Source organism: Homo sapiens, chromosome 12 (assembly GCF_000001405.40).
Source record: "Homo sapiens chromosome 12, GRCh38.p14 Primary Assembly".
In the NCBI taxonomy this organism is placed as follows: domain Eukaryota; kingdom Metazoa; phylum Chordata; class Mammalia; order Primates; family Hominidae; genus Homo; species Homo sapiens.
The window spans coordinates 59,065,738-59,083,793 of record NC_000012.12 but is presented as its reverse complement, the minus strand read 5'-3'; the positions used below and the strand labels follow the sequence as shown (position 1 = coordinate 59,083,793).

General features: G+C 36.8%; 1 long non-coding RNA gene across 1 annotated transcript in view, besides 2 other annotated features; it reads right to left on the bottom strand.

Annotated features, from left to right (window-relative positions):
• LRIG3-DT (LRIG3 divergent transcript) overlaps window positions 1-18,056 on the bottom strand; it is a 210,172-nt gene that overhangs the window by 47,082 nt on the left and 145,034 nt on the right. The window lies entirely within an intron of this gene.
• Window positions 1,551-1,720: an enhancer, noted in NCBI's record as "experimental_30249 CRE fragment used in MPRA reporter constructs". NCBI's record gives its function as "activates a minimal promoter by MPRAs in K562 erythroleukemia cells, with activity observed for both the introgressed and non-introgressed 12:59475940 variant alleles {active_cell/tissue: K562}" and the evidence as "EXISTENCE:reporter gene assay evidence [ECO:0000049][PMID:34662402]".
• Window positions 15,208-17,385: an enhancer, noted in NCBI's record as "VISTA enhancer hs1427". NCBI's record gives its function as "enhancer in: somite[5/9] | limb[5/9] | branchial arch[5/9]" and the evidence as "EXISTENCE:transgenic organism evidence [ECO:0001131][PMID:17130149]".

Sequence of the window (18,056 nt, the reverse complement as noted above, 5' to 3'; positions counted from 1 at the left end):
GTTCTTTCTGAAAAGTTGAAAAATCCTTTAGCATGGTACAGTTTTTTAGTTCCTTAGAAGTTGTGTCAGTCTTGTCACTGAAAGTCCCATGTCCCAGAAAACCCTTTCATCTCAGCTGGGCTGGTTGGTAACCCTATCCACTAAGCATAAATGAAAGATTCAGGAAAAAAAAAAAAAACCTGTGACTAACTGTGGAAACATTAAATAATTATAATGTTTTCAATATTTTTATATTTAAATGGAAAAACTAAAGGTCATCATCAAGTGAATTAAAATATGACAGAGAAACCTAATCAGTATGTACTATTTACAGAGATCTATTACACATGAAATATATAAACAAGAGGAAGACAAAGGCATGGTTAATATAAACCATCGAAGAAGATGGAGTACTGGTTTATACTAATCTCAGAATTCTGTCCTCTCCTCTATTTATTCTACTTCTCTACTAGCCAATGCGAACAGTGAGAATGAAGAGATGATTATCCTCCAGGCTCCCCTGGCCAGAATAAGAATAACTAAATTACCTATACTCTTGGGTCATGCACACATTATCCTGCATCTCAACAATTTGCCTTTTGATTTTTCTTCTACTGCCTTAATCTTAGTGTTGTATTGCTGTGAGCTTACTGGGTGTACTTTAGTCCCCATGGCCTGTTAAGGGATTTTATAACAGCTTTCAAGTCACGAGAATTTTTTTTCATAATATTACTCTAGGAAGTTACTTGAGCTCGGTGGACTTGATTAATTTTTCTAGTTATATAATTAATAATAATCATATTACCATCCTACCCATGTCAATGTTTTATCATTTCAACAGTACAATGAATTTGCTAAATAATTAATATATTCACAGAATTATTCTCGAGTGTTTCCTTTTCAAGAAGTTTTCCTAGCCCTCTGGAAGGGGTGAGGGAGATGGGCAGGTACAGACAAAGATGAGAAAGGCCCTGCCCCTGCCCTTAAGGGGCTCGTAATCAGGTGGAGGAGGTGGGTGCAAACAACATCATGAAATGGATCTGAAGACAGATAGAAAGATCAGTGAAGGTATGACAAGGATTATGAGTAGGGAGTTAGAGATCAATTTTGACTAGAAAGCTCAAGAAAGTGTAAGAGAAGAACTGATCAGAAATTTCAAAAAAATGCATTTGTGACAAAGAGAACCCCATGAATATATAGATGAATAAAGCCATAGAAGCAGTGGAATGGAAGATACATGTATACAGTGACAGTAGGCAGGGAAGGGAAGTAAGGATATGTGAGAGACAGAGGGAGACCACAGTGAGAGACAGAACTGGAAAGGTGGGTCAGGTCTAGAATCAGGGGGTCAGAAAAGTGACTGATGTTAATTGAGCTTTCACTAGGGGCCAGACACTATACTAAGTGATTTGCAGAAGTTATTTCATGTAATGCTTATTTCAACCTTGAGACAGTTATTTTTATCTTTATTTTACAAATAACAAAACAGGCTTAGAGAAAAATAATAATATACTCACATTCACACAGCTAAAAGCCACAAAGCCAGGATCCAAACCCAGATCTGTTTATCTCCAAACTCAAGTAAGTCAAACTCTTTCCATTTTTTCACATGATTTGGATTTTATTACAAATACAAGGAGTTATTAAAGATTCATGAATAAGGAAAGAAAAGGACCAGGAAAGATATCTGGATTAATTGTATGAATGTGTTGGCAGGTGCAGAGATTAAGATGAAGAGACAAAAGACCATGAAGATTAGCGCCAGGCTAGAGTCACTGAGAAAAGCAAAACATTGGAGAGAGATTTCAAAAGTAAATCCTAAGTTTAAGATGTAGTAGATCCATTTGGTTTATTGGTCACAAGTCACAAATGATTTTAAGGAACAGTGCCTGTGAGAACACTGGTGTCATTTATCAAAGTCATAGTCTATCTGCCTTCCTAGAATACGGAAAATGGAGATTAAACTTTCTCCTTGACACATTTGTAGATTTTTTTAAGTACACAAATCAGTATTAGGAAAATTACTTTGTTTCTGTTAAACAGTAGAGTAGTGCCTCTCAATTCAATAGTCATGGGTATTTATTTTGTGCAAGACTACTAATTCAAGTGAGTCTCATTCATAGTGAACAGTATTTTGGGTTTTACCAGTTTTATAGATGGGTTTAATCCAGTCTGCACCTCCATAGCTAATGAAATGCCTGGTTTACATAGAGGAAGGTAGAATCCATGACAATGGATTCAAGATCAAGTTGTGATTCAAGGAGCAAAAACGTGGTATGGCTTCCTATCTATTTTGAACATGTTACTGAGATAAATTGATTTTTGGCTGGATGCGGTGGCTCACGCCTGTAATGTCCAAGACTGAGATGGGCAGATCACTTGAGGTCAGGAGTTCGAGACCAAACTGGCCAACATGGTGAAACCCCGTCTCTACTAAAAATACAAAAATTAGCTGGGCATGGTGGCGGATGTCTGTAATCCCAGCTACTTGGGAGGCTGAGGCATGAGAATCGCTTGAAACCAGGAGGTGGAGGTTGCACTGAGCTGAGATCTCCCCACTGTACTGGGTGACAGAGCGAGACTTCGCCTCAAAAATAAATAATAAATAAATAAATAAATTGATTTTTAATATTGCCAAAGGCTGATGAAATCTACAATATAATAAGATAAATGCTTGGCCAGGTGCGGTGGCTCACGCCTGTAATCCCAGCACTTTAGGAGGCCGAGGCAGGCAGATCACAAGGTCAGGAGATCGAGACCATCCTGGCTAACACGGTGAAACCCCGTCTCTACTAAAAATATAAAAAATTAGCCAGGCGCGGTGGCAGGCACCTGTAGTCCCAGCTACTCAGGAGGCTGAGGCAGGAGAATGGCGTGAACTGCGAGGCGGAGCTTGCAGTGAGCAGAGATCGTGCCACTGCACTCCAGCCTGAGCGACAGAGCGAGACTCCGTCTAAAAAAAAAAAAAAAAAAAGATAAGTGCTTTAAAATTGTTAGCACATTGGAAGGTTCCAAAAGCATAGTAGAATCAGAATTAATTGAATAAACTAAATGTTGAAAGAAGTGTCTTAATATTTAGAACTCTTTATCCATTGGTGGTAGAAACTTGTCAGAATAGCTTCGATCATTGCAGTACTGTGGCTCAAAGATAGATTGGATAAAGTAGTAGAAATACTCATAGTATATATTCCATCGGACAAAGAGCAGATGGCTGGAGTGGTCTCCAGTGCATGTCTGCTCTTCTCTATTACCATGTAATGTTTACCTGTAGAAACAATGGTCTCTTCCAAGCCTAATGATGATGATAGAGGTGATAATCCTAATTTATTAAACACCAATTACATGCTAGGTACTATACTAGCTATATCACATATGTTTTCTCATCTTATCTTTAAAATGATCCTCTGATGAAGACACACTGGCTCCTTACATAGAGTAAGAACATAAGTTGCGGAAGTTTCAAAAACTTGCCCAATGTCACTTGGCACAAAAAGTGGCATATCTGGAATTGAAATACAGGCTTATCAGACTCTAAAGCATGAAATCCTTATTCTACTCCAGGTAGGCTCTCAGTCCTAGCTGCATATTATAATCACCTGGGAAGCTTTCACAAAATTTCAATGCCCAAGCCTCTCTGCTAGAGATTGATTTAATTTGTTTGGGGTAGACCCAAGTATAAGCACTTTTTAAAAATCTCCCCAGGTAATGGCAGCCAGTGCTGACAGTCACAGTTGTGTACCATGCTAGCAATCAAAGTGTTATGAGTCTTTGGGAATGTTATTTGAAGGGGAAATAATAACCTTCTTATGTCCATTCTTTTCGCTTTCCACCCACCTCTCAAATGCACACCCTACTTTCAGGTTACTGAACAATAAAAAACTTTTAATTATTCAGTTTAGTTAAATAACCTAAAAGGTCACAGATAATATTCAAGCTAGATCTTGGTCCCCAAAGAGAAGGTCAAGGTACTAGGCATCAAGTATTTATTAGTGCATCTTCAGATTTTTCAACACAGAATTCCAGGCAAACGTAATTCTGTCTTTAGGAAAAGCATGATGTTAGTGTCTACATGCCATTTTTAAAAAATCTTAATGCATAAAATGTGTCTTAATATGTCTGAGTCATCACTCAGACTTCCCATTCAAGAGGTGCAAAACCATGAACAAAAGAACAAGGGAGAGGTAGAGGAGAATGATCAAGCGAATAAGACTAATAGGCAGATCAGAACGACAGCAGCAAGTGGCTGGTGAAACACTCACGACCCCAGGGTTCTAGGAAGATTTGACTGCATATTTTGGTACCAATGTTATGGAGAATTTTTCTCCTGTTCTAGAAGGAGAATAGCTTCTAATGAATATACCGTTCTTAGTATTTGTTTTTATAACTTTATTTTTCCTCAGTGTCGGAAGCACTCATTTCCTTTATTTGCCTTGCTTTTTCTTCAATCCTTTTCTCTTTTTTCCTTCCTCTTTAAATCCAAACCACAAACATGCTCTGTTCAAACCTGTGTATTTTCGAGAACACAGACACACCCAAGCTGATGAAGAAATCGAGAGACAGGGCTAGGAATGATTTCTTAATGCTTCACTAGGTGCCTGGTTCTTTCTTCTCCATAGCTGTTTCACTGTCAGACAAGTAAAAGAGGAACCTCAAAATGATGACCTCTTCCCCAGCCTTCTGACAGTCAGACTAGGTGGCAAAGACAGTGATGCACCCCAGAAACTCCCTGGGGTTCTAGAGACCATGACAACCCTTCTCCTCCCCTCTGGGACTTTCTTTATCCAGAAGAGAGCCTGACATTTTAGCCATACAACTCAGATTTTACACACAATTGCTTAAGAGGAGAACGTATACCAGAAATCAGAAACATGGAGTTCGGAGAAAGAGTTCAATAATTGAATTCAGGCTGATTATTTATCTGCTATATGGACTTGAGAAATTGTTATTTAAATTCTCAAAGCCTCATTTTCCTTATCAGTGAATAGGAATGAAAACATAACATGCTTATATGGGTTGATATGAAGATTCAAAGGGATATGTCTATAAAACCCTGAGTATACTCCCTGTTCATTTGTACAAAACGTATTTATTAAAAACCTAACTGAGCCAATCATGATTGGAGGTGCTTAGGATTTATCACTGGATAAAACAGACAAAACAACTTCCCCTTGTAGTGCTTACATTCTAGTAAAGGGAGACAGCAACAAAGGGAGCAAAGGAATAAAATGCACTAAACCTTACATGGAGACTAAATATATATTATATGTCTAATATACAGACAGCTTTCAGTAAGTGTTAACAAAAATAAAGTATAATGCCTCAAATTATTAAAACACTTGCTAGGTAAAAATATCAAGTATGTTTTCTCATAACCTCATTCTATAGAAGCTTATGTAACAAATACATTAAGCTAGATATAAGGAAATATTGCATCTTCTAAACTTTTAAAGAAGTGTTTGAGACAAAAATCTAAGGTTCAGTAATGTTGAATCGGCTCTTAGATTGACGTCACAAAAAAGAACCACATGTGCAATTACACTAAAACTATTCCCCAAAGCTTGTATAACTCTTTGGGTTGAGGCCGTTGGGAACCAATCCCTAGCTCTAAGAGACTCCATCACTATTTCTGCTTGAGCCACACACAGATGTGGGCAGCTAGCTAACACTGTGTGTGTTGTGCTATATGGAATTCCTTGCTTAGTCTCACAAAGACCTCCCACATTTTCAAGGCATTTAAAGTTTCATCTCATCAGCAAGCATGACCTTGTCTCCATCACCTCAGTAAATGGATGAACGTTGCATCAAACACTGCCCTAATCTTTTGCATGATTTGGAAAAGTCTGGTTTGTAAGCTAATAATAAACAATGTATTTTCCACTTAAAAATCAAATTTCATTATATCCATGAGCATGGCTGTGTGAACGCAGTGGACTCCCTATAGAGTCAGAACAAGGTTTATGAAATGAAATGACCCCTAAAAAGCCATGGTCCAAGGCATCATGGAAACATAAGCTGGTCACATACAAACAAGCTGGGAACTTTTGTTTTTAGGAGGCCTCTACAGGAAACACTAAATCTGCTGCTAGATTTCAGCAGCTGCATCTGGCAGGCTGTAGCATGCATTGCTTTGCTGTTTGGCTTACTTTCTGGCTGGCAGAGCTCTAAGGAGGATGTTAGCAGCCAAACAGGTTTGAGCTGTGAAACTATGAGTTCACGTTAAACATAGAATTTACATAAAATAAACTAAGTCTCAGTAAATAGGATTTATCACTTCTAGGAAGGGAATATGTGTCTTCGTCTTTTTTCCCCCAGTATTAGCCTCCTAAATGTTTATAACTTGATTTTTTCCCATGTATCATATACCCACTCCTTCTGCCTCGTTCCAAGAATACTAAACTTTACAACCTCTTTTGTTGGGCAGGCAATATCTCTGTATTTTTATCTTTAAAACAGATTACACCTGGGAGGGGCAACATAGCACAGTGATTAAAGTTGAGTATTTAAGCCAGAATGACTTAAACTGCTTCGTAGGTGTGAGACTTTGAGCAAGTTATTTAAACTCTAAATCTCAATTTCACCATCTATAAAATGGGAGAGATCTGTCTCATATCTCTGTTGAGAGAATTATGAGATAATGTATAAAGCATTTAGCATACTTCCTGGCACATGGGAGAGATTTAAGAGAGCTTGCTTTCTTTTTGGAGGATTAATTTGTGAATAATTGCAGAGGGGATCATTGCATGTGGTTCTAAGTATATGAACACATTTGCATGTAAGCTGCAGTAGGTATATGTATAATACATATGTACCAGATTGAAAGTAGTTCGGTGGTTTTAACATAAAATGGATATAATTCTGATTGAGGGGGCCATTCTGTTCTTTCCTTCCCAGAGCCCCTTTGAACTTTCTGACCCTATATTATTTTGCAGAGGCAATGACTGGAAATTCCCTTTACATCCTACTCAACCCTCAACAATTCTATCTTGTGTTTTGCTTGTGATTTCAGGAAGACACTTATCTCTGTGCCCAGGAAAACACTTTAATTTGCATCAGTCCTCTAGAGTGTTGACTTTCCAAACAAGGTTTAGAAGAAGTCAGCTGGTTAAGAAAAATATCTAAGCCAATGAAACATTGGCTTTAAATTATTTTAGATCATGATCAAAGTAGTCAATCACCAAGAAACTATAAAAGTCATTTGAAATATATGTTCAAGATCCCAGATACACCTATTTTTATCCTGAATTACATAGGCTCAACAATTCAATTTATTTTTTAAAAATTCATTGAATATCTGTTTGCTCAAAAATATATTTCTTTATGACTGCAAAGATATAATGAAACTTAAGTTTACAAAACACTGTAGTTAAAAGGGAGATGATCTCCTTAAGTCTGTGTGAATAAGAACTTTTTCTCTTACAAATGAAAGAACGCCAACTCAAACTTGTCTGTAGGGGAGACAAGTGTTTTGTTGGATCACAAAACTGAAAAGTATAGCAGTAGACTGACTTCAGATATAGCTGAATCCAGGTACCAAACTCATTGTCATAATGGTCATTCTGTCTCTCTTTCTCTCTGTCTCTCTCCACCCAAACCGCATTTCACATCTCTGCTTTCTTTATTTTGGATTCTGTCTCAAGCAAATTCTCTCCATCTGGTGGCAGAGATGGTCCCTGACAGCTTCATGCCTTCATGATTATTTCAGCTTATGTATTTTGAAAAATACAAAAGGGCTTGCTTTCCCCCAGTTCTATACAGTTTACAAATACACACTATTCCTTTTTTTTTTTTTTTTTTTTTTTGAGACTGAGTCTCGCTCTGTCACCAGGATGGAGTGCAGCGGCCAATCTCGGCTTCAGCTCACTGCAACCTCCACCTCCCGGGTTCAAGTGATTCTCCTTTCTCAGACTCCTGAGTAGCTGGGATTACAGGCATGCGCCACCACGCCCAGCTAATTTTTGTATTTTTAGTAGAGACGGGGTTTCACCATGTTGGCCAGGATGGTCTCTATCTCCTGAGCTCGTGATCTGCCCGCCTCGGCCTCCCAAAGTGCTGGGATTACAGGTGTGAGCCACCGCGCCCGGCCACAAATACACACTATTCTAATCCTGCATTGCTCATATGCTCAACCCAGGGGAGTCACAGACCATCTCTGTCTGGGAGTAGGAAGCCCTGCAGTAGCGGAGCTGATGGCCACTGACAGTGACTGAGAGTCCTTCTGGAATACACTGGAAGAGGGGCAATTCCCCCAAAAAAGAATGCCAGGAAGACAAAAAGAAGGTGATTGCTACTCAAATCCTTTTTTTCCTAGATAAGAATACCAAACTACGGCTTAAAGAGAATAAATGACTTGCCTAAGAGTAAACAGCTGCTGATAATCTAGAAGTAAAATTCAAGTTTCATGACACTTTCCATTACATTACACGCTTCCTTATGATAAGGAGGAGAGAACAATACACAACTCCTGAGCAGCTGTATACCAGAGTGGCTAAATGCACAGCCCAGACATCCTGGTTTTAATCCTGACTCTTACAGCCTGCCAGGTCTGTGTGCTTGGAAAGATAATTTATCCTTCTGTGATTTAGTTTCTTCAGGTGGGAAACAGGGAGAATAGCGTCTGTTTCATTGTGTGGTGAGGAACAAATGAGTTATCAAACATAAAGAATTTAAAACAGTGCCTGGCACATTAGTATGTACAAGTGTTTGCTATTATGATGATGAAATGCTTACAGGAAGCAAAGCACTTTGCATACATATTATGCCATGTAATCTTCATGGAAGTTTATGAGGTAGGCATCAACATCCTCACCTGACAGAACATACTGCATCCTTGAGAAATTTAATCACATGTTCAAGATTTGACAGCCGAGGTTTGAACTTCTGTCTGACAACAAATCCTGTGTTTTTAACATGATACTAGTATAAATGTCACAAGATGTGTTCAAAGAAAATGCTGTATATGTCTAAAGGAGATAGCTAGCACGTCCAACTGAAGTGTTAGGAATCTGATATCAAGAAAGAAGAAACTGACCCAGCTTTTGGCAGGTTGTATTTAAATAATTTAACTCAACAAATATTCATGTGAGCACCTACCTTGTCAAAATACAGCAGTGGGCTAAACCTATAACAGCTTGTTGACTTCAAATTTGAGTTGGAAATGAGTAAGTAAGCAATTTAGGCAAAAGGCTCTAGATGGAAAGATACCAAAAGAACAGGGATGTGGTGTTGGAGAAGAGATCTGGAATAGTAGTCAACTTGGACTTGTGGGATGCACTATGCAAACAATTAGGGAGAAAAGGAATTGGAAAATACTGGGTACTCCTACATTATGGAGGCATCTGGAACACTAAAGAGAGGCTCCAGCTGGGCGTGGTGGCTCACACCTGTAGTCCCAGCACTTTGGAAGACCCAAGTGGGTGGATCGCCTGAGGTCAGGAGTTCAAGACCAGCCTGGCCAACATGGTGAAACCCCGTCTCTACTACAAGTACAAAAATTAGCCAGGCATGGTGGTGCTTGCCTGTAGTCCCAGCTACTTGGAAGGCTGAGGCAGGAGAATTGCTTGAACCTGGGAGGAGGAGGTTGCAGTGAGCCAAGATTGTGCCACTACACTCTCCAGCCTGGGCAACAGAGCGAGACACCGTCTCAAAAAAAAAAAAAAAAAAAAAAAAAAAAAAAAAAAGAGGTTCCAATGCATTCAACCCAGTGGACAGTGACAGATTACTGAGAGGGATGGAAAGAGGAAAAGGACAATAATGCAAACTCATACACACACACCCCAAAATACAACCTGGAAAACCACCCCCAACCCAGATTCGAATGACATTAGTTGACCAGCTTATTGAATGATATTTCTGTTTAATAAAAAGAACAAATTTACTTATGTTAATTTTTGGTAACGTTGCAAGCTTTTCCCAAAACAAATCACTTGAAATGCTATTTCTGTTTCTAGCAAAATACCTTTTCTTAATGTTTTTCAACTTTGCATTTGGTTCTGTTTGCCTCATGGAAAAGATCCTGTTTGAAGTATCACTGAAATATCTGCAACACCTACTTATATTGCTATTGTCATGAGTAAAAAATGAGAAAACGAGTAAGGTTTTACCATACATAGCGGTGCAGAAAAAACATTGTCAACTTTTAATATATTCTTCTGCAGATTAAAGGTTGTTAGGTCTTGTGGATTTGTAAAAAAGAGAAAATAGATGTTGTCATGGTTCTTCACAACAGTGGCAGGGAAATAAATGAGATTTTTGGCTAGAGTATATTTCCAGAACATTATTATAGCAATGAAGACACACTATGACCACAAGAAGATTTTTTGGCCTACCAAAGTATGCGTTTAAAGATGGGAAATATTCAAGGGATAAGAGTTGTGGAGTATCTAAATTAAATTTTAAACTTAACACATTTAGCCCCTGTCCTCTCATTCAATCAATGGTCAATTTTAATATGTTAACAACGTGAGTCTGGATGTGAGAATGTAATGCTTCGATGCACTCATTCCTTTAAATTTCTTACATGTCATTAAAATGTTTAATCCACAACAATTCCAGCTCACTTTGCAAATGAAGAAATCCAGAGATGGTTGCTTCAGGTCACACAGTTGGTAGGCACCAGGGTCTAAACTAAGGCCCAGGATCTCTGACTCTCCAGGCTGCTGTACAGTTTTATCAGCAAACATTCATTTTTTCACAACAAGTACTTAAATGTTTTCGCATATTTAACATTAATACAGAGGCCGAAAGATAAATAACTGCTACTCAAGGTAACCTGTCTTTGTTTGTTTCCAGCACTCCAGGAAATAATCAAGAAAGTCTAGCTACATAAAAAACATTAAATGAATAAACAATATGCTTAGCAATTCTGACCCCAACTTTTTATCTCATCATCAGGTACTAACAAACAGTTCTGGGACCCACATAGATCCTTGGTCCCCACTTTAAGCAACACTGATCTAAATTCTTGTAGAGTTGGCCATGGAAATCCAAGCACACTAAAGATTTTGCAGTATCCAGAGAGAAAGGATAACAATACTCAAATAAGCACTATAAATGATGACTTCAAAAGGCTCCGTGACAAGGATTGACACTCTTCTTATCTATGAAATGATTTTTCTTTGTGAGTTGAGGAAAAACACATATTCTAAGAATGAGGTTAATCTTCCTTTACCCGGCACGTGTTACTCCTGCTTAACATGAACTTTTTATTCCCTACAGCTCCCCCTCCTCTTCTGAAACCACTACACACCTTATACACGTTATGTACAGAGAGCCATGGGCATGGATCAAGAGAGAGAGACAGAATGCTTTTGCCTAAGCCAGGCATCCCCTACAATGTTAAGGTTGGCTTCAAAAATGGAATGGAAAACAAAGTTTTATGTTGAATGAAATATTCTTTTCGAAGATTTTATTCTCTCTACTCTTGGGAAAGTTCCTGAATAAAAAATACAGAGGTAGCCGTCACTCACCTCTATAAATTGGCATTGAACAGGGTAGGTAAAACACAGGAAGCAAAGCTATGTAAGAAGGAATACTTAGAGCTAATTACAAGCAAAATTTATTCTTTGTCTGCCTAATGCCAGAGTATTCTATCAATTCAGTTTAAAAACAAAACTAAACTAACACAACTTAAAACACCTTCTTACATTCTTCCTTTAGAGGGGGTCCAGAAAAACAACATAGCTTCAAGTATATTCTTAATGTATATGTGTCCACACTGAAAACTCTTTTGAAATTCTAAGAAAACTTTGGAGACACTTAAACCATGACACATTTTCCAGGGAGTATTTCAGGAATTCTTTAAAAAAAATATTTTGATAAGATGTAAAATCAAACATGTCTTCTCCCAAATGACCCAGAAACTTTTACCCAACTATTGCCCAGTTGTGATTCTATTCATTACTGAGACACAATTCTGAAGATTTAATTTTACCTCATTGGGAACATGCACTTTTAGAAGACAATTAAAAAGGACACAAAACTTTGGAGCCTAAATCACAGAAGAAACAAGAGCTACACTACTTAAGGAAAGGGGGAAGAAGAAAGGCTACTTCTGTTTGTGATGCATTAACATAAATGGCTGAACTTGAATTACTAGCAAACTGCTAATATATTAGTAACCAAAAATTACTTCTAAGTAAAAGTCAAATTATGTAAATATTTGTTTTATATGTCAATATAAAATACCCAATAAAAACACCCAAATATGGGTTATTAATTTTAAAATGAGTGAGACCTGTGCAAAATTTCACTCATCCTTGTTCTGATATCAGGATTAATTTCTAACAGGTCTGCTTATATCTTCTTTTAATCAGGAATAAAGACTTAGCATAAATAATAAAATGATGTTCTTCACTTTGCTAGCATTTCATATTTTCAATACAAATAAGTTCTGGCATTATTCGAAACAGAGAAAGAAAACTAGAAGCGTAGTCAAGTAAATTATGGTAATAAACTTGATGGCATATTATGCAGGTATAAGATTATATTTATGCATGATAAGGATTAATATGCAGAAAAAAATTATAATACTAATTGGAAGATACTAACTTTGTATCTACCGCATTAAAGCATCATGAATATTTTAATGTTTATGTAAGGTTGACGAGATTTCTATTGTTTTCTATCTTCCTTTTTAGATATGTAGTTATGGATTATAATGTGTAATGTAAACCAAAAGAAAACATATATTATTTGAGCTAATGGGTTACCTAATAACATTTGTTTAAATATATTTTAACCTAATCCACATTTTCTCAATAAGTTGGAGTAGCATTTTAAAAAATAAATATGATTAGTTTAAAATCTTTTTCTAATGAAGCCGTGTTACATTTAAATTTAGTGGGCATTTTTATGGCCTACAATAGCATATGAAGTTTTTATTTACATGAAGAAAAGATGAACACTTTTTAATGAGTAGTTCCAGTTTTAGAATAACTGTGAAATTATTCCACAGGAAATAGTGCATTCTCTATTCAGCCTTCACTCTGCCAAAATAAACAAGCTGAAGAGTAAAAGCCCTCCCCAAAATGCCCCGTAGTTAATAGACATACTTTAAATTTACCTACCGAGGACCACAAAAATCAGCTTTTACATCACTCCAAGTAAACACAAATCTATTTTCCTAAGCACTCCAGTTAAACAGTAAAACACCAGGCAGAGCTACCAAATATTCATTCCAGAAAACAAAGCCCATGAAGAGTGTAATTATTTTGTTCTTTCTTTAAATCTCCTTGCCAAGAATCTGAACTGGATTAAGTATTCAACGCCAAGAGATTAAAGATGTATATCCCTGTAGCTAACACTGCACACATCTCCACATAATCACTGGGATTAACTTTCCAAGGAAGTAGATCAAAGCTTTATTTCCTTGTGGGTATCTGATAATAAAAGCCAAAGCTAAGTCAAACTCTCATCACTTTTGCATCTATACTTAAGCTACTGGTTCAAGAATAATCAGAATATGTAAAAGATAAGGTCAGTGAGAAGAAAAGAAAACAAAAACCCACCCTATTTCACATTTACCAGTGACAATACTAGACAGGTAAACAATGAAAAATAAACAGGAAATTATTTGAAATTTTCAGAGCATAATAATAATAGTAGAGAAATAATAAGCCTTTGTAAAATGTGAGTGAACATTTACTGAAATCACAATATATAACTATGTAAACTAAAAATAAATCATCCCAGCTATTTTATGTCAAATCTTGACAATGAATTATGATGAATCATTGCAATTAGCATCTTTAACTGCAGCAAGTTTGTTGCAAACTAGATGATATAGTTTTTTTAGTTCCAGCCCATGTTAGGAAAATTGGCTGCTAAATTGAAGAACTCGAATTTTCTCTACAAATTAATTGATTTATTGTACTTATTAGTAAAAAATTTAGGTATTTTAAAAATAAATAAAATAAAATCATATAACCAAGTTGTGGAGTAGAAGTTTACTTTGACTGTGTATTCCTGGATACTGCTTTTTCCCTGGTGGTTGAGAGAGATCCACAGAGAATTCCAAGGGGAAGAATCTGGCCTTTTGTTATAAATATTTCTATATTTCTACCAGGAAAAACTCTGGAGCTCTCTGCTGCTAAGTACATCACAAACATTAAGCCATATTTGATGAATCAGCCTTCTGTTACATTTTAAGAAATAGATTTATGTTTCCATTGTTTCAATTTCCTTACTCGAAACACCTTTATCAGCAACATTTGTGAGCAATAACAAAAATAAACCAATATTGAAGAGACAGAAATATTCCAAGAAGGAACTCCTAGAGAGACAATTGTTTCCTCTGGGCATGTTTAAAGATTTTGAATCTTCAGAAGATTTATCTTTTGCATAGACTAAACAGTCTAACTTAGGAAAAATGACCTGGGCTTTAAAACATCTCTAAAGCTTAGAGACATTAGGACTAGTATCAATGAAATTACAAGACCTTAAGACAAAACAGAAAATCTTCCAAACTTTGGGTGTATTTTTATCTCACTCAATTTTATTAAAAGATGTTAAAAAAGCTACCAATACAAAATCATTCTGTATGAAAAATATTTTTGTAATAATGCTACTTTAATGGTCATTCATAAGCATGTAATTACACTTTTCGGTAACACCTAGGATATCCAGAAAAGTTAGTCACTCAATTACATCTTTTCTGCCATACATTAATTATATAATATATATTTATTTTATATTTTCAAATATCTAACATGATAGTATTTACATTTCCCTCATATTAATCACCCCATTATCTTACTCAATTTAAATATTTCTAAAATTAATATTACTATTGAAAAATAATATATCTTCTTTTCTGGAGGTATATTAACTCTTTCATGCAATGACGGGCATATGAAAATTTTCTTTTCTCATAAAACTTCTAATAGAAAAATGTGATCTAATTATATATTTTGGAAAACAATCATATTGCTATAAATTATAACTGCTGCTCTGGGAACAATGTAAAGAGAAATCTAATTGTTTATGACAGTGTTAAACTCTTATAATAAGAAAAAGTACATAATCGGTTAATGGTTCATGATTTCTCAATTATAACTTAATAATTGAATTTACTCGATCAGATTTTTACATGGTGAGCCAAACTCTACAAGGTGATGGGGGAAAGCTAGCCTCCAGGGAGCATGTTGGTTACTAAGTTTAACCACATGATCATGAAATCATGAAGCTGATCTCAGGGAAAGTAAATCATTCAATTTCTCAGTACATAGAAAAGAAAGGAAGCATTTGGCTTCTATCTAGGGTTTGATTCATGTCTTATGTCTCTGTCTATTGGCTTGTAGGGGTAACTTGCTGGAAAATAAGAGCTTTAAAAAAGGCAGTCATATAGAACTAGGCCAACGTGCTAAGGAAAATGAAACAAAATTGATGGTAGAATTTCTCGCTTCTTGTTGGGTGATGGGAGAAACACAACTGGGCAGTTAAAAGGCACAAAAGTCTCCAGACACACCATCTTTTATGTTGGCAGTTCAGTCTGGCATTCATGCCTTCTCTAGCCACTATCTACCCTCCTTACAATCTAGATTATACAAAGAAAATAGTAAAGCCAGAGAACGTCTCTCCAGAAAGAAAAATAAATCTTCCCATCGCTATGATCAGGCCTCTTTAATACTAGAGTTCAACCATGATAATCACAGGAAGGACAGATTTCAATTAATGACAAACCCTACTAGCAACAACACCAATAGAACCAACATTGACAGCTACCTGTTATTGAAGGTTCACTCTATCCAGGGCACTGAGCTAAGCTTTCTCCTCCATTATCTCATTTCACCAACAATCAACCCTTTGAAGTGCAAATCATATCATTTCTCTTTAGAGCAGAATGTTGAGAGACTTTGTATAGACAACTTCCCAATATTACAGCTGATATTTAAATGGAGACCATTGAACCCAGAGGTCACTGAGCTACGCTGTCTCTGAAGGCAGTCACTATCATACCATTAAACTAGTGGGACACTAAAATGAACACTTGTAGATTTTGCCATGAGCTTCTGCTAATTGTTTCTTCAGGTTTAAAAACTGCATAAATATACACACACATACACTCACTTAATTTTTTGTATTAATTTTTGTTTGATTATTCATTTTACCTTTTGGATAAGTCCTCTCAGAATCATAAATTCCCTTATGTATTTAAAATAAAATTTTATTTGTGATAACCACTTTTATGTTATTCAAAGCAATGCTTCCAAGTCCCACTTTTCACATTGCCTTTTCCCATTTTCCAAATCAGCTCACCTTTGTGTATGCCCTTATAACCGTGTCATTAGCTATAATAATGATTGATCTATCCTCCTTCCAGCCTTTAGCCATCTGTGCAAGCAAAACTTTCAACCGAGACATTTTAAGCATTAAACATATACTGGAGCTCTGTTCAATAGATCTTTCATAAATCCCCAGCCCCCAGCCCCAGAGAGTAAGAAAAGTCAGGTCATGAGCAGGAAGTAATGGAGACAAGGCAGTTTCTGAGCTGAAACACAGACTCAAAGCTGGTTTATTGTTGTCATGACTACGAGTTCCACATGCCTAAAGTCACTGGTTTCTGAAAAGAATGATGCAGTGTCTAGCCTTACAGCTGGACATATAAACCAAATTAGTCTGCCATGCCTCTACCTGCTTTGTGGTTATTAGTGAAAAGAGCAATATATCACACAATCAGTCATGCAGCAGTTAAGCTCTGCACACACTGCTTTTTCAGATCTGTAACTCATTTTTCTTCCAGCTCCCCAGAACAATAACTTGAAATCTGCAGGGAAAAAATCAAAGAAATTTTGACAGATATTTTAAATTTTTGAATGGAAGATAAACCAAAAAGCAATTTATAGTGTTTTTTTGTACTAACACCACCTTAATTTTAAATCACGCAAAGAGTAACAGGATTTCATAAATTCTTTATAAAGGAGCTCAAAACTTCACTGATTTGCAAAAGACTTAAAAAAAAAAAAGAGGGTGTTTCAGAAAGGAGAACCCTAGTTTGCCTGCTCCAGATGTGAAATGAGAGCCTTGAGAGCTGGATTCTATTCCTTGCTCTCCAAGTGATTAATTGAATGACCTAGGGGAAGTAATTTAACCCAGCCGTGTAAAAAGAAAATATGCATTTACCCACAAGAACAGGGTGTCTAAGTTGGATCCACACCTGCACCACTGACATCACTGCCTCTTCTGAAGCACTCTTAAGATGCCCTCCCTTGCTTGTATCCCTCCCTCCAGTCTACCCTCATTTGTCTCCACCTCCTGCTTTAAACTCTTCCAATCTTATCAAGCTCATAAATATTTTAGATTCCCTGCCTCCTTCCTCCACCTGGTTCTGTTATATCTCTAGTATGTACTCAAAGAAAGCTCAAAACTGTAAAAGATTCAGTCTGTCTTTGTCATCTCACTCTCCTGGCCCCAGTCCATTTGGGGCTCCTTTTTCAAACTCTTGGCATATTCATGCTGTCCACATGGCTGTTGGGAGTCTCACTCTAAAGTATCCAACTTGGACTTGCCCTCACTAAGCAGGTATCTGTGTCGTAAAACTTCCCTATATTCTCTCTCCTTTCTCCTGTCAATGGTCAGTTTTCATCATCTCTCCCTATTTAATACGCTTTGTATGGCCAGTTCATCCTAGGTGGAAACAGGTATGAGGAGTGACAGTGGAAACCATTGCTCCAATGAGCAGTCAAAGGTAGCAAGACTGGAAGCAGAGTTGCTTCTTCGGCAGGGACACATAAAATTAGGGGTAAATGAGTGGGTGCTGCCCATACTACAGTATAATCTCATGTTGATAATAAATTTAATATGCTAATTTGTTCCCCTTTGTAGGTAATATACTCACACTTTAGAGGAGCCATCAGCTTATATTAATAGAATGAGTATAGTGATATAGTGATAGAAATTTCAAGTATTATGACAGCCAGCGAGTGACACCTTTTTGAGCCTGGAAAGTTGTTTCTTGGGCACTTGGATCTTAGGTAGTTGGATTGCGTCAAGTCTACAAGTATTTGAATCCAGGTGAGCCAGAATTATCTGCGACTGAGAAAAATGCAGGATAGAAGACAATTTTAAAGCACTGTGCGATT